General features: G+C 43.4%; 1 protein-coding gene and 1 pseudogene across 6 annotated transcripts in view, besides 1 other annotated feature; one reads left to right on the forward strand and one right to left on the reverse strand.

Annotated features, from left to right (window-relative positions):
- Positions 1 to 20,613, forward strand: part of BORCS5 (BLOC-1 related complex subunit 5) — a 114,156-nt gene extending 93,543 nt beyond the window's left edge. For 5 of the 6 annotated variants that reach the window (NM_058169.6, NM_001330356.2, XM_011520551.3 and 2 more), the window contains one exon: positions 14,926 to 20,613. In NM_058169.6, coding sequence (NP_477517.1) covers positions 14,926 to 15,156 — 231 coding nt within the window. In that variant the 3' untranslated portion in view covers positions 15,157 to 20,613. Of the gene's footprint in view, positions 1 to 10,736; positions 11,287 to 14,925 lie in introns of those variants that run through there. The other variant, XM_011520553.3, reaches the window with a different exon arrangement.
- AP3S1P3 (AP3S1 pseudogene 3) lies at positions 447 to 2,055 on the reverse strand (annotated as a pseudogene).
- Positions 6,458 to 7,136: an enhancer, noted in NCBI's record as "H3K4me1 hESC enhancer chr12:12610012-12610690 (GRCh37/hg19 assembly coordinates)". NCBI's record gives its function as "activates a minimal SCP1, AML or CMV promoter by ChIP-STARR-seq in naive H9 embryonic stem cells {active_cell/tissue: H9 hESC(naive)}" and the evidence as "EXISTENCE:reporter gene assay evidence [ECO:0000049][PMID:30033119]".

Below are 21,333 nucleotides of genomic sequence, written 5' to 3' on the forward strand. Positions count from 1 at the left end.
ACTGCTCAACATGGTATGTATTTAATTGAAATGAGCTGACTTTTGAATTAATTAGCTCTTTAGAAAAAATAGGCAAAAATGGAGCCGAAAAGCATGGGTTTGAATTCTGGCTTCACTGCTAGTACGAGCTGTGTGACCCTGGGCACCTTTTCTCATCTCTGAATCTCTAATTTCTCATCTCTAATAGGAGAGGGACACTTTCCCTATGAGAGTGTGGTGAGGTATAAAGATAATGTATGTAAACTGCACAGTACAGTATCTGACAGTTAGTAGATACTTAATGGATAGCAGCTGTAACTGTTATACATTATTTTATTACAATAATTAAAATAACTAGAGAATTTGTGTATATTATATACTGGGTTCTATCTACCAAATCATTCTAATATGATGTGCATTGATTACCAAAAGAAATAGTCCTCCAGTATGGATGCCAGTTTTGTTTCTGTTAGAGTGTGTGGAGTGAGATTTACCAGAGAGGGATTTCTCTTTTCTGGTTGACAGATCAAAGGTACGCCTATGAGAATACATGGCAAGAATTTATTCTTTTTTTTTTTTTTAACAGTGATAAAATATACTTTACTTTGTTGAGTCAGAGGGTTGTAAAAAAAATTATTGCTAAAGTAGGTATCAGGCAAACAGAAAGGTGCTTTAGAAGTCCAGTTACCTTGGAGTTTATTTAAACTAAGAGAAAAACGTCATAATGTTTTCATGCGATACATATCTGGTTCTTTAACAATTGTGTGACAAACAGCAGAAGGAATTAAGGAATGCCGCACTTGTGATCCATACAAAACACCAACACTTTAGGTTGTACATAATTAAAGAAATATCTCAAACACTTTTTAAAACACTGTAGTAGCCAATACATAGAGGCATGCCGTAGGTAGGCACAGGAATGCAGTTTAGAAAAATAAATAAATCACATAGGAACTACTCAATTTCCTTAAAATCACTGAGCAAGAAAAGCAACATTGAACTGGCTGGGCGCAGTGGCTCACGCCTCTAATCCCAGCACTTTGGGAGGCCGAGGCGGGCGGATCACGAGGTCAAGAGATCAAGACCATTCTGGCCAACATGGTGAAACCCCGTCTAATTTTTGTACTAAAAATACTAAAAGTACTTTTTTTGTACTAAAAGTACAAAAATTAGCTGGGCGTGGTGGCGCTCGCCTGTAGTCCCAGCTACTCAGGAGGCTGAGGCAGGAGAATGGCGTGAACCCAGGAGGCGGAGCTTGCAGTGAGCCGAGATCGCACCACTGCACTCCAGCCTGGCGACAGAGCGAGACTCTTTCTCAAAAAAAAAAATTAAAAAAAAAAAAAAAAGGAAAGCAGCATTGAACTTTCATATTGATTTTACACAGCTTTTATACAGTACCTTGACTTAAATCCAAGAGCAAAACTTGACTGTCCTCCTCTATTTTTGGTAAACTTACGTGACTTTCCCCCCTGGATTTTACCTGGGAGTAGCCTTTTTAAATTTTTATTTAAAAGAGGGCAGGTTTGGCACTTTATAGTAATGTCACCAATGTTAATATTTCTTGGGATCTCAGGAAGATTCACATTTTTTACAGCTGATACAGGTTCAGCACAGGCTGAAGCTCCCCCTCAGCCAGCCTCAGATTTTTCCAGCTTATTTTGTGCACCAATTTGTGTAACAATCCCATTCATGTTTGTCTCCAATACCATTCCCCCATCATCATTTCTGCAAGAATATTGTGAACCGTGTCTACATGGAAAATCAAATCCAGTTCACAAACATTTTCAAAACATTTGTCTAATGTTTCCACAAATCCATAGGGCTGGTAGAACTTGGAGAGCCGCGGTTTCCCATGATTGTTAAGATTAGGATCGCCTTGATCGTGGCTGGGTCGGGCCCACCGGGTAGGCACTGGGGGCCAGGGTGCGGGCCGGCGCGCAAGCCTCGCCTCGTGATCTTGCCGGCGATCCTTCCCCACCCACTCCCTCCCGCACGCCGGCAAGAGTTTATTCTTACAGGCTGCCATTGCAAACTACTGTCTTCAGAAACAAGGTCACTTCAAAGTGTCCAGAATGTGGTAATTGGTGCCATTCAGCCTGTGGCGTAATTAAGGAAAACATTTGCCCATTGTTGTCCATTGTGCTAGAGAGAGGCGTCCAGGAAAGATTCATACTCCCAAACCCTCCATGGGAGTGGTGATCTGGAGAGGGTCGGACAGCCAGAAAGCACATAGTTGACCCTGAAAGGTTTTGTTGCAGCCTGTCATACCCTAACCTTTATAATCTGTCTGAATCTCTACTGCAGGTCAAGTAGCCATGGTCTGGTGGGGATAGAGGTGGCAGGTGGGCTAGAACGTGCCATATCTTGATTTGTGGCAATGGGCCTCCTACTCTTCGGAGTGGAGACAGCTAATACCATGAGTCAAAGACCAAATCGGGATAGCCGATGTATAAAAACACAAGCACCGGGTTTGCAAACTGGAAGAAAGGTCTTGAAGAAGGTGTCAGAAGCAAAAAATGGTAAGTATGTGAGGAGGTGGATATTTTAATTAGCATGACTATAGAAATCATTTCACTATGTATATGTATGTCAAAACATGTGTGCTGTAAATATATAGTTTTTATTTTTTAAAAAATGAATGCTGTCAGTATGAGTCCATTTAAAAATAAGCAGGCTTAAAGGTTCAAGGAAATTGCTGAGAACTGGCATCTCACGCTTCCTTTTGGGGTTAGTCGATGCATGGTATGGCTAATGTAAAGATCCAGGATCTTATGAACACAGCTTTTTACCTTGGACTGTTCCTCTTGCAGACTCAGCTACCACCTTCCTTTAGGATTAAAAATGTTTTACTTAGCCTCAACAATTTGTTTTAGAGCCACTTTCATAGTGCCTAGTCCTGGATTCCCAAATAGGTTTCTTCATCTTCGTAAACTCGAAAGTGGCCATCTGGGGTTCAGTGTCAGGAAGGGTTCTGAGTCCAAGTCAGATTTAAAGAATAACCATGATGCATTACTGGTATCTGTCGGGGGTCTGGGAGAAGGAATTGAATGTATTTGAATACACTTATTTTATTATTTTTTAAAACTGAGTTATCATTCACGTAGTTCACCCTTTTACAGTGTGCATTTCAGTGGTTTTAGTATTCTTGCAAGATTGTGCAGCTACACCACTATGTAATTCCAGAACATTTTCATCTGCCTAGAATGAAACTCTATGTACATCAGCAGTCACTCCCCATACCTCTATTCCCCTATCCCCTGGCAACTACCAGTCTCCTTTCTGTCTCTCTGGACTTGCCTGTTGGGGGTATTTCATATAAAGGGAATCATGTGATATGTGGCCCTTGTGTCTGGTTTCTTTTACTTAGCATAATGTTTTCAAGGTTTATCCATGTTGTAGCTTATATCAGTATCTCATATCTTTTTATGGATGAACAATATTTTATTCTATGAATAGACCACATTTTGTTTATCCATTTTTCAGTGGATGGATATTTGGGTTGTGTCTACTTTTTGCCTATTATGAATAATGCTGCTATAAACATTTGTGTACAAGGTTTTGGGTGAACATATAATTTACTTCTCTTGGGAATACATGTGAAGTGAAATTGCTGGCTGTATAGTAACTTTATGTTTAACTTTTTGAGAAACGGCCAAACTGCTCTTCAAAATGACTGTCCCATTTTACATGCTTACCAGCAATGCACAGGGGTTCCAGTTTCTTCACACCCTCACTAACATTTGTCATTGTCTGCCTTTTAATTTGAGCCATCCCAGTGGGTGTGAAGTTGTATTCTTTCTGCTTTTGATTGCACTTTTCTAATGTCCAGTGATGTTGAACATCTTTTCCTGTGTTTACTGGCCATTTGTATATCTTCTTTGGATAAATGGCTTCAGTTATAATTCCAAGGCCAGATTTTGCCCTAGGGACAGTACTGATTTATATAGTTAGGCTGACTGCTTCCTAATTGGGAGAATTGGTAGTTCTGAATTTCAGAAACATCTGAGAAGGGTGGATATTGAAGCTTTATATAAAATATGTAGCAGTTTTCTTTTAATGTGATTATGATTTGGGAACTTTTTAGTTTTACTACCATGAAAAACAGAACTTCCAAGCATACTTTGCCATTCATTGTTAGAATAATATAAACATACATGTTTATAGCAGTGTTCTGTTTTCAGATCATCCTACATATATTATCTCATTATAACCATTACAACACTGCCGTGAGGTAGGATGAATATTAGCCATTATTATCCCCACTTTTAAAAAGTAGAAGCTGAGAGTCAGCTTGTGATTTGCCCAAGTTCACCAACTAGTAGAATTTAAATTCAGGCCTTCTGACTTACTTTGTTAATGGTAATGAATTATTAGTGATGTCAGGGATTTGAAGGGTGAGCTTACATTGCTAAAAATCAGCAATATGCCCATCTTCAAATAACAGATTGTTACTGACTTCAGAATGTATTATTTGAATAGCTGTAAAACAGGATGAATTGTTACTTTTCCATTTAGCCTCTTTAGCTACAAAGTACTTACAATAAAAGAGCAGAATTACATATCACTGCCTGCTCATTACATTTTGAACCCAGAAGGAAATCCACCCAAAGAAAGAACAAAGCTGGGAATGGATTTAGAACCCTAAAAAGAGGCAGCCTTTGGTTAGCTGACCTTGAACCATCCATCATGCCTCCTCCTCCCAGCCTCCATATTCCTAAACTGACATCCTTGGGGAACAGGAATTTAAATGTAGAACGAGTGCAGAGAAAGTGAGATATCTATTGAGATCAAATAAAAATTGACCTTGAGACTAACATTAACTGACAGACACCACATTAAAAGCTAAACATTACCTTTAAAGGGTGGGAAAGATGAGTGACTTTTTAAATGCCGTCTTGAGCTGGGCACAGTGGCTTACGTCTGTAATCCCAGTACTTTGGAAGGACGAGGAGGGCAGATCACCTGAGGTTAGGAGTTCGAGACCACCTGGCCTACATGGTGAAACGCTGTCTCTACTAAAAATATAAAAATTAGCCAGGCGTGGTGGCACACACCTGTAATCCCAGCTACTTGGGAGGCTGAGGCAGGAGAATTGCTTCAACCCAGGAGGTGGAGGTTGCAATGAGCTGAGATTGTGGCACTGCACTGCAGCATGGGCAACAGAGTGAGACTCGGTCTTAAAAAAAAAAAAAAAAGCAGTCTTGATTAAGTCCATATGCAGTCTTTTTTGTTTTTAACATTTCTTTTAAACTTAAGTATTTTGGGGATAGAAAAATAAGTCTATTGATCATATGGATGTGAATTTTGTTAACTGTGAAACACAGCTTACCTACTCATTTTTCTTTTGACCATGAGGGTTATTAAATTTGCTTTTGATCATTTCATGCATATCTACATCTTAAGTTTTTAGAATTTAAAAGTTGTACACTATCTTTATGAAGTTCTTACTGTTATGTTGCACATCTTTTCTAACTTAAAATAAGCCCTTGTAGTATGTCACTAATTTGGAAAATTTACCTTTACTTTGAAAAGAACTACATCAAGCATAGTGAGGCCAGGTGTGGTAGATCATGCCTGTAATCCCAACACTTTGGGAGGCTGAGCGGGTGGATGGCTTGGGCCAGGAGTTTGGAGATCAGCCAGGGCATCATCTTGAGACCCCATCTCCACAAAAAATAAAAATTAGCCAGGCATGGTGGCATGTGCCTGTAGTCTCAGCTACTCAGGAAGCTGAGATGGGAGGATTGCTCGGACCCAGGAGTTCAAGGCTCCCGTGAGCTATGATCAGGCCACTGTACTCCAGCCTGGGCAACAGAGCGAGACCCTGTCTCCAAATAACAAACCACAGTGACATCTTTCATAGGATGACCCATCTGCCTCAAACCAGCATCAAAGCTTATTTTATGAGGAAAATTTATATAACAAAAGTTTTTGAAGCACCGTACTCTCTTGTTGGAGAGGATATCATTTATTAAAGCTTTTGGTTTTGCTTTCAAAATATTTTTTGAAAAATATACATGTACGCATGTACGCCTATGTATTTTTATTTTTACCATATTGGATAGCATCAAACAGTGGTAATAGTTATTCTCATGGCTAAACATATAGATTAAAAACACATGGAAGGACTTGTAGGTAAATAATGATTTCAGTTATTACGTAGTGCGAAATGATTCTATCAGGAAACTGTGGGATGAGTAATGTGACTCTGCTGTAAGATTTTCAGTAGCAGAAGTACAGAACAAAAATAAAACATGTCAGCAAAAAACACAATGGTAAGTTGTCATCTGAGTGATTGTGTAAGCCTTGAAGATAGTTAATGTAACCGAGATGAGGCGTCCACATAAGCTCCTGCCTTCACAATAGATATGTTGTGTCTATTTGGATATCACAAAATGTCATTCGGTTTTTTATTCTGCTTTCATGTACTACATTTCTTATCTTGCTTTTTCATTCTTCATGTAAAAGAGGTTTCTAGACAGAGTTTCTGTTTCAGTTCACATATATTTTATCACTTATGGAGCTCCTTTTTCCTGGGAACTGTTCTAGGAGTTTTATACATTTTATCTCATTTAATTCTCACGTCAACCCTATGACGTAGGCATTGTCAATTTCACCAATTTTAGGGGACAGAGCAGCTGAGGGTCAGCAAGGTTAAGTAACTGGCTTAAGGTCATGAAGGTAATCAGTCATCTGCAGAAGCAAGATTTTGACTCAGTTCTGTCTGATGCTACTGTCGTTATCCATAAGCGATGTATGTATATTTTAGTTAGAAAACTGGAATGTTTGGCCGGGCGCGGTGGCTCACGCCGGTAATCCCAGCACTTTGGGAGGCCGAGGCGGGCGGATCACGAGGTCAGGAGATCGAGACCATCCTGGCTAACACGGTGAAACCCCATCTCTACTAAAAATACAAAAAATTAGCTGGGCGAGGTGGTGGGCGCCTGTAGTCCCAGCTACGCGGGAGGCTGAGGCAGGAGAATGGCGTGAACCCCGGGGGGCAGAGCCTGCAGTGAGCCGAGATCGCGCCACTGCACTCCATAGAAGCTCTCTCCCCTCCCCACAAACTCTGAGTCACTCAGCTTGAGCTCAGGAATGATTTCAGATGTCTAAACAGGTCATTTGCAGGGTCTGGGTAGTCTGCCCACAGAGGAGGTAAAAGCTCTGGCTCAATCTTGAACCATTGCAAATTTAAGCCAGTGGATCTGAAGGCAATTGAGTTCTGTTCTGCCACTCCAGCTCAGGCAGGACAGCTGCTTCCCTGAAACAGGGCCCTCTGAGGTTAGATGTACAGCCTCAGTGGGCATCAGTGTCATGAATAGCCGCTCCTCATTTGGCAGCAGTAACTATCCAGAGACAAAGGATAGGATTCGGGATAACCGTGGTCATAAGCTAGAAGTCTCCAGAGTCCTTAGAGGAATTTGAAAACTGAACAGAATTTTTTTCTTTCCACACTGTGTCAGGGCTTTAGCAAAGGAGTTCTGTTGTGACAATTGTCTGGGTAACATCTGCCTACTGTTTTTTGTTTTGTTTTGTTTTGTTTTGTTTTCCTGATCTGTAGTCCATCTTGCTTAACAGTGCCCAAGGGCACAAGCTTCACACTGTTAATAGTTTTACTCTTAACACCTCCTTGGCTCCTTTGTCCCAAGAAGGTGAGATCCCACTTCCAGGTGATCTCCTGCAGGACTTTTCCCTGAGCCTCTAACCCATTTCTAGCCCATATTTCCCCCTCAAGAACAATAATTCAGTAATGTTTTCAGTTCTCCTGAAACAATCCCAAATTTTGGATTTTTTCTTAATGTTGAATTATAAGAGTTATTGATATATTCATTCTGGATGTAAGACTGTCATTTGATATATAGTGAAATTTTTTCTTTCTTTGTTTATTTTTGCCCATTATTTTCATAGGGAATAAAATATTATGAAATGTTCTCAGTCTGCTGCTTGCCTTTTCATTTTATTTCTTTTCTTTTCTTTCCTTTTTTTTTTTTTCTTTTTTGAGACAGTCTCGCTCCGTCACCCAGGCTGGAGGGCAGTGGTGCGATCTTGACTCACTGCAACTTCTGCCTTTTGGGTTCAAGAGATTCTCCTGGCTGGCCACGGTGGCTCACGCTTGTAATCCCAGCACTTTGGGAGGCCGAGGCAGGTGGATCATGTGGTCAGGAGCTTGAGACTATCCTGGCTAACACGGTGAAACCCCATCTCTACTAAAAGTACAAAAAATTAGCTGGGCATGGTAGCACACGCCTGTAATCCCAGCTACTCGGGAGGCTGAGGCAGGAGAATTGCTTGAACCTGGGAGGTGGAGGTTGCAGTGAGTCAAGATCGCGCCACTGCACTCTAGCCTGGGTGACAAAGCCAGACTCCGTCTCAAAAAAGAATTAAAAAAAAGAGAGAGATAGTCTCCTGCCTTAGCCTCCCAAGTAGCTGGGATTAGCAGGCATGTGCCACCAGGCCCGACTAATTTTGTATTTTTAGTAGAGACAGGGTTTCTCCATGTTGGTCAGGCTGGTCTCGAGCTCCTGACCTCAGGTGATCCACCTGCCTTGGCCTCCCAAACTTCTGGGATTACAGGCATGAGCCACCGCACCCGGCCTTAATGGTATCTTTTTAAGAGAAGTTTTTAGTTTTGATGAAAATCAATTTAACCATTTTTATTTTATGGTTAACACTTTTTGAAACTTAGAAATCTTTGCATACCCCAAGGTAGCAATTTTTTTTTTTTTTAAAGACAGGGTTTTGCTCTTGTTGCCCAGGCTGGAGTGCAATGGCATAATCTCGGCTCACTGCAACCTCTACCTTCCAGGTTCAAGTGATTCTCCTGCCTCAGCCTCCCAAGTAGCTGGGACTATAGGCATGCACCACCACCTCCAGCTAATGTTTTGTATTTAGTAGAGACGGGATTTCACCATGTTGGTCAGGCTCGTCTCGAACTGCTGACCTCAGATGATCCACCCGTCTCAGCCTCCCAAAGCTCTGGGATTACAGGCGTGAGCCACTGAGTCCAGCCAAGGTAGCAAAGATTTTTCTCCTATATTTTCTTCTAGAAGTTTTATAGTTTTAGCTTCCATATTTAGGTCTGTGATCCATTCCATATTAATTTCTTGTGTATGCACTGTGAGATGTAAGGCTCCAGGTTCATTCTTTCTCTTTGTGGATATCTAGATATTCTAGCACAAATTGTTGAAAAACTTTTTTCCCCCATTAAATTGCCTTGAGATCTTTGTAACAACAATAAAAAAATCAATTAACAATATATTTTTAGATCATTTTTACACTGTCTTTTGTTTTATGGATCTGTGTGTCTCTATGCCAGCACCACACTATCCTGATTACTGTAGTTTTATAGTAAGTCCTGAAATCAAGTACTGTAAGTCTTCAAACTTTGTTCTTTCAATTATTTTGGCCATTCTGTGTACTAAGAATCAGCTTACCAATTCCTGTAAAACAATGCCTTCTAGACTTTTTACTTGGATTGCAAATGAACCTCTTAATCAATTTGGCAAGCATCAGCACCTTGACCGTGTTGAATCTGACAATCCATGAACATGATATACTTCATTTCTTGAGATCCCTTTTAGTTTTTCAGAGCGATGTTTTGTAATATCAGTGTACAGATCTTATACATATTTTGCTGAATTTTTCCCTAAGTATTTCATGTTGCCGACGCAGTTGTAAATAGTATTCTTTTATTCCACTGTCCTGTCATTCATTGTTATGTAGAAATACAATTGATTTCTGTATGCTGACCATGTATCTTGCAGCCTTGCTAACTTCACTTTAGTAGTTTTTAGTAGATTTTTAAAGATTTTCTAAGTGTATTATCATGTCATCTGCAGATAAAGACCCTTTTGCTTATTCCTTTCTAATTTCTTTGCCTTTTACTTAATTTATTGCATTGGCTACTGCATATAGTACAATGTTGAATAGAGGTGGTAAGAGTGTAGACATGCTTGCCTTGTTCCTAATCTTAGGGAGAAAAGTGTCTTTCACCAATAACTGTATTGTCAGCTGGAAGTTTTTCATAGATGCACTTTATCAGGTTGAGGAAGTTTCCTTCTGTTCCTACTTTGCTGAAAATTTCCATAATAAATGCATGTTCAGTTTTTTGAGTGCTTTTTCTTATATCCATTGAGACAATCATAGATTTCTAACCTCTATTCTGTTGAAATGGCAAGTTACTTTGATTGATTTTTCAGATGTCGAAAAAGTGTGTCTCCTTGACATAAGCATTGCTTGGTCATAATGTATTATCCTTTTTGTATATTTCTGGATTTTATTTGTTAATATTTTGAGTTCATGTACTGAGTGGACCAGCCAAGTAGGCAGATGGGCCCGCACCATCCATATAAGGTATTTGGAACAACTTTGAGCACATTCTACAGATGCCTAATAACCTTAGTGAGGCCTGCAGTTCTATGCTCAAATAACCTCCCCTTCTTTTTCACTTGTCCTTTGAAATGGACTGCCCCAGAGATGGTATATGAATCTGTAGGGCAAAGTTTGAAGTATGAGCTTGAGTAAATGATGAGTTCCTTGAAGACAAAGGCTTTATTGCATTCTTTTTTTTTTTTTTTTTTCCCCCTGGGATAGGGCCTTGCTCTTTTTTTCCAGGCTGGAGTGTAGCGGTGTGATCACAGCTCACTGCAGCCTGGACCTCCTGAGAGCAAGCAATTTTCTCACCTCAGCCTCTGGAGCAGGTGGGACTACAGGTGTGTTCCATCACACCTGGCTAATTTTTATTTTATTTTTTGTAGAGATGAGGACTCAGTGTGTCGTCGTGGCTGCTCTTGAGTTCCTGGGCTCAAGTGGTCCTCCTACCTCAGCCTCCCAAAGTACTGAGATGACAAGCATGAACCACCGCACCTGGCCAGCATTCCTATCTGTCAGTATAAGATTATATTAACTAGTGTTACAGAAACCCCAAATGATGGTGGCTTATACAAAATGAAAGTTTATTCATCTCTCTCAGGCCTGGTCTCCTCTTACACATAAACATCCTCATGGACCCAGGCTGCTTCTAGCTCATGATCTGCCAACTCAAAGATGTAACCTTCATTATTCTCATGGTCTACATGGGGTGCACCTGCATTTCAGCAGCAGCAGAGTGGAGGAGGGGACAGTGAAGAAGAGAAGCAACAAAGAGTGCATGCCGGCTGCCTTTCCAGGAAGGTGCCTGGAAGCTGCCAGGAGAGACTTCTGCATGCACACACCACTGATTATAACTTGGTCATGTGTCACGGCAAGGCGAGGGTTTTGAGGCAAGAGTTGTGGAGAATAAAGAGTTGTTCACTTTCTATTTGAAAATCAGCTAGTTTATTCATTTAATTTTTCTTAAGTTCCTGAAACAAAGTTATTTGCAATTTATATGTTTCTGGGCCTGAGTTTCCTGGAATAGTAAAGTCATGTTAACAGAAACAGTGGAAAAGAAAATTCATGTTAATGTACACGGTAAGCTGTGTGGGTGTAAGTAGTTTTGGTTCTCAATATCTATCCTAGGACCTCGCATAGTGCATGGCACATGGCACGTGATGCTACTCAATAACTGTCTGTTGCCTGTGTGGTAATAGCTCACACTTACCCAGTGCTCACTGTGTGCTGGGCAGGATGATAATGTTCTCCTTGCAGAATCTCATTTAATCCTCAGGACAGTCTTTTAAGTGGCCACTCTTGTTATCCCCACTACCTTGCAGATGAGGAAACCGAGGCTTACGTATATTTTCATTCATTTATTCAACAAATATTTATTCAGGACCTGCTATGTGCTGGGTACTGGAGATATAGCAGGGTTTAAAGCACACCAAATCCTTGCTCTCATGGAATCAGCCTTCTGGGTAATTTTCTAAAATCACATAGATACTGGGTCGAGGGTAGCCCTTAAACCTAGGTGGTCTGACTCCTGAACTTGCAATCTTAACCGTTGTTTTATTGGTAGATGAATGGATTGATGAGTGTGGTGAACAAAAATTGTGACTATCCATTTCACAAACAGCTTCGTGGTTGCCCTTTAGCTCCAGCTTGGATGGTTAGATTGCCCTGTCTGAAGCTGGATTTATTTTATTTTATTTATTTTTGGAGATGGAGTCTCGCTCTGTCACCCAGGCTGGAGTGCAGTGGTGCGATCTTGGCTCACTGCAACCTCTGCCTCCTGGGTTCAAACGATTCTCCTGCCTCAGCCTCCCAAGTAGTTGGGACTATAGGCGCACACTGCCACGCCCGGCTAATTTTTTGTATTTTAATAGAGACGGAGTTTCGCCGTGTTGCCCAGGCTGGTCTCGAACTCCTGAGCTCAGGCAATCCGCCCTCCTCAGCCTCCCAAAGTTCTGGTATGAGCCACCACGCCTGGCCAAGCTGGGTCTTTTGAATGGCTATGGGTGCTCAGTGAGGCAACCCTAGGTGATATCATAACACCTCTGCTTATCCAGAAGACAATTAGTATATATGTTATCTTGTTAGAATCCATGTGCCAAAAATAGAAATAGGAAAGGCAAATAAGGATATATCCCTAGATTGTCAAAATGGTGATTCAGAATTGTGTGAGATACTGGTTTACTGCCTACAGTCACATCAAATGTGTTACAATGAGCATGTGTCTGGGGGTTCGTGGAGTAAAGGTAGGGATTATGGATCAAGGACAATGTTACCTCAAGAGCAAAGGTCAGAGACATCAAAAATAGGCATCAACAGTTTTACCATCCTTTTCCAGATAGTCCATTGTTGCTTGCACCAAGTTGAGACTTTCTTTGCAACAAAGAATGGGGGAAACATTTAAAAGGTAATAACTTTCCCTACATGTGATCTAGTCTTCTTTAATGCAGTGCCACGTGCCAACAAAAGTCTCATAAAGCACCAGTGATACAGGGTCTTGCTCAGGAAATATGTGTAAAAGAGGGGAGCTGCTGGACTTCGGAGAGCTGGGGTCCAGTGTAGGTTCTGTCACTGTGAGATCTTCAAAGTCACGCAAACTCAAGTTTCCTCTTGCGGTTTTTTTCTTCCATGGAGCATAATGGAAGTAAGACATGATGTCAGCACGCATGAACAACCTGTTTGAACTCAGTGTGCTCATCTCAGCATTAACAGAAAGTGCCTTTACAAAAGCTTTGGAGACATTAAACACGGGCCCCAGCTGGATGTGGAAACATGTAGGGAAGTACATGCCATTTGACAAGTACCTGTGAAGATGGCTGTGAACAGTCTTCATCAGGTGTGAATCGGGGATGGATTGACTGCCAAGGACTTTAGACTTGATAAGTTAGAGCCTTGGAGGCCATTTCAGATAGAAACTCTTCAAGCATCTATCTAGTCTGGTAGGGTTGCGGGGTGGAGGGCCAGGAATGCCCTGCCAAGTAAAATGTGATGCCCGAGAAGGTTCCCAATTCAGGATTCCACCTGGCTCCCACGAGCCCCGCTGTCTCTCAGGTGTGTGGAGTGTTTCTCAGTGCTCATTGCAAGGCCACCCTGAAAAGGCCCAGCGGGTGACTGTCAGGACCACAGGACTCTCCTGGCTCACTACTTCCAAAGTGCTGAGCGCCAGACAGGGCTGCAGAGAACCCCGGAAAGTGTGCATTGTTTCCACATTATTTGGAGTTTCTCACTCCCATGTTTTTTTTTTTTTTCTCTTCTCCTTCTCCCCGTGCCCAACTAGCTGCTCCTCCTGCCCTGCAGGCACTCAAGCAAGAGGCCCGCCAGAGGACAGCAACACTGATGTGCTTCGGTCGCCTCCCGCCCCTCCTGCCCTCCCCACAGATGATAGCAAAAGGGAAATTATTTTTTCTTGGGGCTGGCTTTGGTCCCCCGTGTTTTCATGAGTTTGTTTTTGTGTCTCTCGAAGCCATTTTCAGAGGCTCTCTGGTACCGGGTGTTGAGCCCTTGTCCTGATGCAAGGTCGGGAAGGGGCGTGCTCCAGGAATAAACCAGAAGGAAGGGCTGGAGGAGCCTGGGAACCTTGGGATAGGAGTGTGGGCCTCAGTAGTTGAGCTGTTTTCTCCTGGCCTGGGAAAGAAACAAGGGGTGAGGGGGTGGAAGTGGGGTCCATGCTGAGGAAGGGGTGCAAGTGCCCAACACGATGGCGGTCTCTCTCTCTATTTTTATCTGGGTGATGGGTACTAAAGAGCCTCTGTAAGGGGAAGAGAAGAAGTCACGCAAGGGCAGCCCAGAGCCCGCAGTTTCTTTAATGGGGGAGAAGGGCACATGAGATAGTCCTCACAGTTTGACAAATGTGGTGTGTTGTAAGGACGGGAGCCTTGGTTGCATTTTTGGCCCTGGCAGGGAGAGCCTCCCTTCCATTGCAGTGTTCCCCGAGTGTCCGCCAAACTGCAGCCGTCCAGGGAAGAGAAGGATTGAGTGAAGAACATGCATTTTGGGGTTTGGGATTTTTGTTATTGTTGTTAGAAACAGGGTCTCACTGTGTCGCCCAGGCTGGAGTGCAGTGGCATGATCATGGCTCACTGCAGCTTCGACCTTCTGGACTCAAGCCATCCTCCCACCTCAGCCTCCCAAGTAGCTGGGATTACACGCACACACCACCACGCCCATCTGCTCCTAGTTTTTTTCTAGATAAGCAACCTGAGACACAAAGGATAAGCATTAGCAGCTCATACACGTGACAGAGCCAGATTCAGCCTTGGCCTGACTGATTTCCACATCCAGAATTCCCCTCATATAGGGAGATAGAAATCTCAGGATCTCAACAAGGTACAAATAACGCACATTCCCAGAACATAGAGCCAGGGACAGTCCCCTCTCAGTTCTCTTCTAAAGGTGGTTCTGGCACAACAGTTGATAAAGCTGTGTCCCTGAAGGGCTTTTTAGCCCTGGGTGCTTCCTGTAAAACTTGTCAGCTTCCACTGGATCTGCGGGACTGTGTCCCTCACAGGCTGGACACCCGGCCCTGCGGAGAGGACTTGATTAAACAAGGTATAATGTACTTCTCTTTCCCATCCACAGATGGATCTGTCTGTAGAAACTCTGTTCAGCTTCATGCAGGAGCGCCAGAAAAGATACGCCAAGTATGCCGAGCAGATCCAGAAAGTGAACGAGATGTCCGCCATCCTCCGCCGCATACAGATGGGCATCGACCAGACTGTGCCCCTGCTGGACAGGCTCAACAGCATGCTGCCCGAGGGCGAGCGGCTGGAGCCCTTCAGCATGAAGCCCGACCGCGAGCTCAGGCTGTAGCTGCTGCCCGGCCTGCCTGGGGCTGGGAGCCCCAGACACCGACACCCTGAGGACGTGTGGAGCTAAGGTCATATCATCTGACCAGGTCTGGAGGCTGGCGGGAGGCTCCCTGAAAGTGGGTGCGAAGGAGTCCGGCTGGCATGAAAATCTGACTTTGCCCAGCTCTTTTCCTTGATGCAGTTTCCCGGTGTGGAAGGAACCTAACCAGTTCTCGGTGATAACTGAAGCTGGAACGTGTGAATTATTAGGAATTCTTTGAAGAACTCTGCATTGAGAATTATTTTTATTTAGTTTTTTTTTTTTTTTAATTGAGAGTATATAGTCCAGTCCAGGTACCGGAATAAAAATATGGAGACAAGGGGAAAATATTTTACGAAGCTCTGTGTTCTCAACGCCCTCATGAACTTTTCAGTAGGCTGTCTGGTTTATGTGTGGTCAACTTGAAAAACTAATTGAATCTAGGTCTCTGTATTGTTCCTGTTTCTACCCTGACTGTTTCCGTCACACCAAGCCCTTATCTGGGGCGCGTCTTCCTGCCCAGGTGGAACACTGGCATTTTGTTGACTGTCAGGTTAGGTGTCCCTTAGTCGTCATCAGAAGCTGAAGCCTTCCTTTCCACACCCTCATCAGATTCATCTCCACTGATAACCGGTTTCCTTGATGCAGACATAGTTTAGCTTTCTTTGACTGCAGAGATGTCTCATTCCACAGACATTTCTTGAACCCATTTGATGTGTCCAATATTGTGCCAGGGATACAAATATGGCCGTATAGCCTCAGGCCTTCATTTCTGAAAAGAAAAAAGCTCAAAAAGCTGCTGAATTTCTCTGGGAGTTTAGGAAAGGAAGTTATTTGAGTAACAACAAAAGTGCTTAGTGTCGTACTTTACACATCATAGGTGTTCTAATGGAAGCAAGGACTGGAGAAGCAAAGAGTGGAATGTGAGGAGCAGACCTAGGCAGACACCTTGAGACTAAAAGTCAGAGCTGAAGGGAGTCGCTGGGGCCAGGACGGCATGCAGGCCTGTACCCTGTTCCCTAAGTTCCTGCAAGCGTCGGGAGGTGTGTTTTCAGATACCAGAAAGAGCCTTCAGTAGATTCACAAGATTAAAATTGATGCGCTTAATTTAATGTATCTTGGCTAAACTTGATCTGATTCTAATCTTGGTTTGAGACAGGGTCTTGTGCTGTTGCTCAGGCTGGAGTGCAGTGGCGCAATCATAGCACACTGACTCCTCAAACTCCCGGGCTCCGGGGATCCTCACGCCTCAGACTCCTGAGTAGCTGGGATTACAGGTGTGTGCCACCAAATCCAGCTAATTAAAAAAAATTAATTAATTTTACATTTTCAAATTCAAAAGAATAATACAATGAATATTCATATTTCTTTCACCTAGATTGACAAAAAGTGGTATATTTAAGACATCACCATCATTGTCTTTCTTCTGGAGTATACAGAACCTGGTTCTGAACACAGGGATATGTTTGTAGCTTCGAGGAATGAAGGGCTGTTTACAGAGCTACAAAAATAGCTTAGGTGCCATTATCCTCACTGCACTTAATACAGGTGACACATGAAAGCACAGAGTGGGTGGCAGTTCAAGCCTGCGAGGGCCGAGCCTTTCCACTGCTGCAGCTGTTAGTGGCTGGCACAGGGCAGGATGGCAGACCTAGTGCAGCACAAACAAACCACGCAGTCAGCCAGCTCTCCAGCCAACTGTGTCTACTTCTAAAGTAGAAGTTAGACAAAACATGGGGTTCACTTAGACTGGGGTCCTGAGTAGGTGATAGGCTACTTATTACTGGGTGGAAGCGGAGAAGTATGGCAGAAGAACAATAGGCAAATTCAATACTCCCGGAAAGAATTCTAGTTAGTTTAATATTTTGATGGCATGTTGTGGTTTCTGCAGTGTCGTGAACTTGGCTAAACTGAACTGTGTTCCCAGAATTCCCTTCCTTGTTTGTTTCTCTGGTGAGGGTTGGCCACGAGAGAGATTTGCATGAGGTTTGGAAGTGGAAGTAGAGCAACAGCCATGTGTATTCACTGGAAGTGGATGTAGGTCAGGCCCTGTTCCATCACGTGCACGTTACCATGGATCTCCTGCACTTGTGGTGTGGGCAGCCGCTGGGCCCACGGCTCCTCCCACTCCCGCAGAACTCTGCCTTTGGCTTTTCCAGACCCTGGGCCGGGTATGAGAACCAGCTTCTTGGTCTGCAGCCACAAGGATGAAGGTTTGGGGATGAGAGACCAGCACGGGCTCTGATGAGAGACAGGTGCAGGTCCCAGCTTGTGGCTTGCAGGTCTCAGTCGTACTTGCTCTCCCTCACCATCCTTTCCAACCGCCTGGCCTGTGGTCTGGTGAAGAAGAAACAGCCGAACCGAGACTTTCACCAGCCCCTCTAATTGCTCAAACCGCTTTCACAATCCTCTCTTTCTACATCATTCCTAGTGGTTCTTTTCTGATGGAACCTCTGACTGGTAACATGGCATTACCAGTCCTTTCCCTCTCATGTTTTGCTATTTCCTGATGGAACCTGGGAGTCTGAGTGATTTGTATTTCAAGAAGCAGTTATGCTGGATCTCTTTGTTGGTTAATACCCCATGACCTATCTGGCCGTTATGGGATATTTCAGGGATAGGAGTTGTGAAAGAGCCCTTGGCTGGACGTTTCTAGCCTTAATCTTTGGCAAGCCATTTCATTTCCCTGAGCCTCAGTTTCCGCCTTCCTACAGCGTGAGCAGGTCTGGGTGGGCTCTCAAGCCCCTTTCAGCTCTAAGATTCCAAGTCTGTGATTCCGATACATCTTGACTACAATGAGCGTGTTTACCTTTTGTCTCTGAGCAGTGGCCCTGGGTCTTGGTAGTGACTAAATTCCGAGCTCCCAAGGTGCAGCTGCTTTTCTTCCTTTTAATTATAAATTAGCTGTTCATTGGCTGCTTCTTTCTAGAGCCTGTTTTGCTTATCTTGCAATCTGTTCATTTCTGTTGATGAACACAGTCAAATAGGCCTCTATGTGCAGTCTCCTGGTTTCCCTGGTCAAAGTGGAAGGTTGGTAGAAACTGGCCTTCATGTCTTTGTTTCCCTCAAAGTTTTATTCTTAGTAACGCTATATATGGTTTTATAGACCACACATATATAGTTTCCTGTGTCTTAGATGATAACATCCTTAAAATATGAAATATATTTTGAACCTAGATACCTACCCAGTATTCTCTGCACAGAGTAAACATTTCATTAAATGAGTTTCAAGGACTCCATACCCTGATATAGGAGTACATTCAAGAAATGAGTTTAGGCCGGGCGCGGTGGCTCACACCTGTAATCCCAGCACTTTGGGAGGCCGAGACGAGTGGATCACCTGAGGTCAGGAGTTCCAGACCAGCCTGACCAACATGGTGAAACCCCATCTCTACTAAAAAAAATACAGAAATTACCCGGGCATGGTGGCTGGTGCCTGTAATCCCCGCTACTTGGGAGGCCAAGGTGGGAGAATCGCTTGAACCTGGGAGGCGGAGGTTGCAGTGAGCCAAGTTCGTGCCATTGCACTCTGGCCTGGGTAACAAGAGTGAAACTCCGTTTAGAAATGAGTTTAGTCTGGGAGAATCTGCTTTTTGAGTAAAAAAGTTTGATTTTATGTATGTGTGCGTCTGTATATATGTTTCTGTATCCTGAGTATTTCTTTGCGGCTTCTTCAGTTATGAAAGAGGTTGGTACTGTTACCCTTACGTTATAGGTATTACAAACTCGGTTTTACAAGGTTACATAAACTAATGGCCCTGGGGCGAATGACGTATGCCACTTTTGTGTTGATTTGTAGAACTTACTTAGCTTTGGCATTTCCCCTAGTAATTCCCAAGGCAAAACCAGGAATTGTCAGAGACGTGACCAGACATGTATTAAAATTCTAGTGCAATTGGGAAACTTGGTCTTCCTGATTTGTTTATACTTCAGCCAAACCCAGATATATAGTGCTCAGCAGAAATTATTCAAAATGTTGATACTCAAGATTGAAGGATGGATTAGGGAGAAATGAAAACTTTTCTTCTTGTGGACTTTTTAGGTATGAAATTTAATCACGAGAGTAGTTTTGCTTTTCTTTCCCTGACCTTTCGCTTCATTCCTTTGTTAAGAACTATATAGTGCCTCTGAGGAGGTGGCATTATTGTTCACTAACTTACCATAAATCAGGGGTCTCCAAACCCCAGGCCACAGACTGGTACCCATCTGTGGCGTGTGAGGAAGTGTGCTGCACAGCAGGAGGTGAGCGGCGGATGAGCAGGTGAAGCTTCACGTGTTGTTGTTGTTGTTTATTGAGATGGAGTCTCGCTCTGTTGCCCAGGCTGGAGTGCAGTGGCACGATCTCGGCTCACTGCAACCTCCGCCTCCCGGGTTCAAGCAGTTATACTGTCTCAGCCTCCCGAGTAGCTGGGACTACAGGTGCCCGCCACCACACCCGGCTAATTTTTTATTTTTAGTAGAGATGGGGTTTCACCATGTTGGCCAGGCAGGTCTCAAACTCCTGACCTCGTGATCTGCCCGACTTGGCCTCCCAAAGTACTGGGATTACAGGCGTGAGCCACTGCACCTGGCCAGCTTCGTGTGTATTTATAGCTGCTCCCCATCACTCACATCACTGCCTGAGCTCCACCTCCTGTCAGAACAGACCCAGCATTAGACTCCCCTAAGAGCGTGAACCCTATTGTGAACTGCGCACGTGAAGGATCTAGGTTTTGCGCTCCTTATGAGAATCTAATGCCTGATGATCTGAGATGGAACGGTTTCATCCAGAAACCATCCCCCTGCTTCCCTGTCTGTAGAAAAATTGTCTTCTATGAAATGGGTCCCTGGTGCCAGAAAGGTTGGGGACTGCTGTCATAAATAACATTGAATTTCATGTGGGTTTTTTTTTTTTGACACACCAGGCATGTCTCTTCCATTCAAATGCTATGGCTACAGAGGGAAAGGGTAGCCAGATAATTATCCACATGCTTCAAACCAAAAAGATAAAAAAGTTGGCAACTAGATCTAGTTGCCTGCCAGGATGACCAGCGTTATGCTGGTGTGTGCGTGTCCATGCCTCCGGGATTTTTCCAGGGTTATCAATGTCAGTGTAAGATCTGATGGAATTTACCGTTGACTCAATTTTCTTCACCAATCAAGGCTCATTCCTTGAGGCATGAGTTATGCGAAAAGCTTTTCTGCACCAAGTACTTTCATTCTGGTCTTTGGAATTGTCATAATTCTGACAGAGAACACAGACCATTACTGAATGCTCTTCAGGTTACCCTATTTGCCTGTCACATTGCTTCTACCGGCCACATCCTGCATTTCCTGTGGGACAGCATTTTCAAACGGATTCTAGTGTTTGAGCTGGAACCAAAAGAATGAAACTGTTTTTACATAAGTGCATATTGCTGTCTCTGCAAATAAAGTACAACAATATGACTGACTTGTAAATATCTTCCAGGACAATGCTGTGATTTTCCAGTTGATTCTGCAACTTTAAAGATATAACCAAGTATAATTAGGCCGTTCAAGGATGAATGGGTCCCACAGAAGCTAGAAATAGTTTACTTCCTGCTTCCATTTCTAGATGCAGAAGACTAATATTCACAGAAAAATTACGTAGACAAATTTTGTTTACTAGATCTAAAACATTCCTGCTTCTCAGAAAAACAAAACCAAAGGAGTATTTAAGATAAAGTAACAGTGAACGTGTTGAGACTAAAAAGTTTCCATCAACTAGTCCCATATGCACCCTCTACCCTTCACATAATCTCTTTGGACACTCGGCTCCAATTTTGTCTTATTTTTCTTCACATCTCAATCTACACCTTCCTAATATGTCCGGAATTGGTGGATTCTTGGTTTCACTGACTTCAAGAATGAAGTCGCGGACCCTCACAGTGAGTGTTACAGTTCTTAAAGGCAGCGTGTCCGGAGTTTGTTCCTTCTGATGTTCGGATGTGTTTGGAGTTTCTTCCTTCTGGTGGGTTCGTGGTGTCGCTGGCTCAGGAGTGAAGCTGCAGACCTTCGCGGTGAGTGTTACAGCTCTTAAGGCAGCGCGTCCAGAGTTGTTCATTCCTCCCAGTGGGCTCGTGGTCTCGCTGGCTTCAGGAGTAAAGCTGCAGACCTTTGCGGTGAGTGTTACAGCTCATAAAAGCAGTGTGGACCCAA

The sequence above is a fragment of the Homo sapiens genome, chromosome 12, assembly GCF_000001405.40.
Source record: "Homo sapiens chromosome 12, GRCh38.p14 Primary Assembly".
Taxonomy (NCBI): domain Eukaryota; kingdom Metazoa; phylum Chordata; class Mammalia; order Primates; family Hominidae; genus Homo; species Homo sapiens.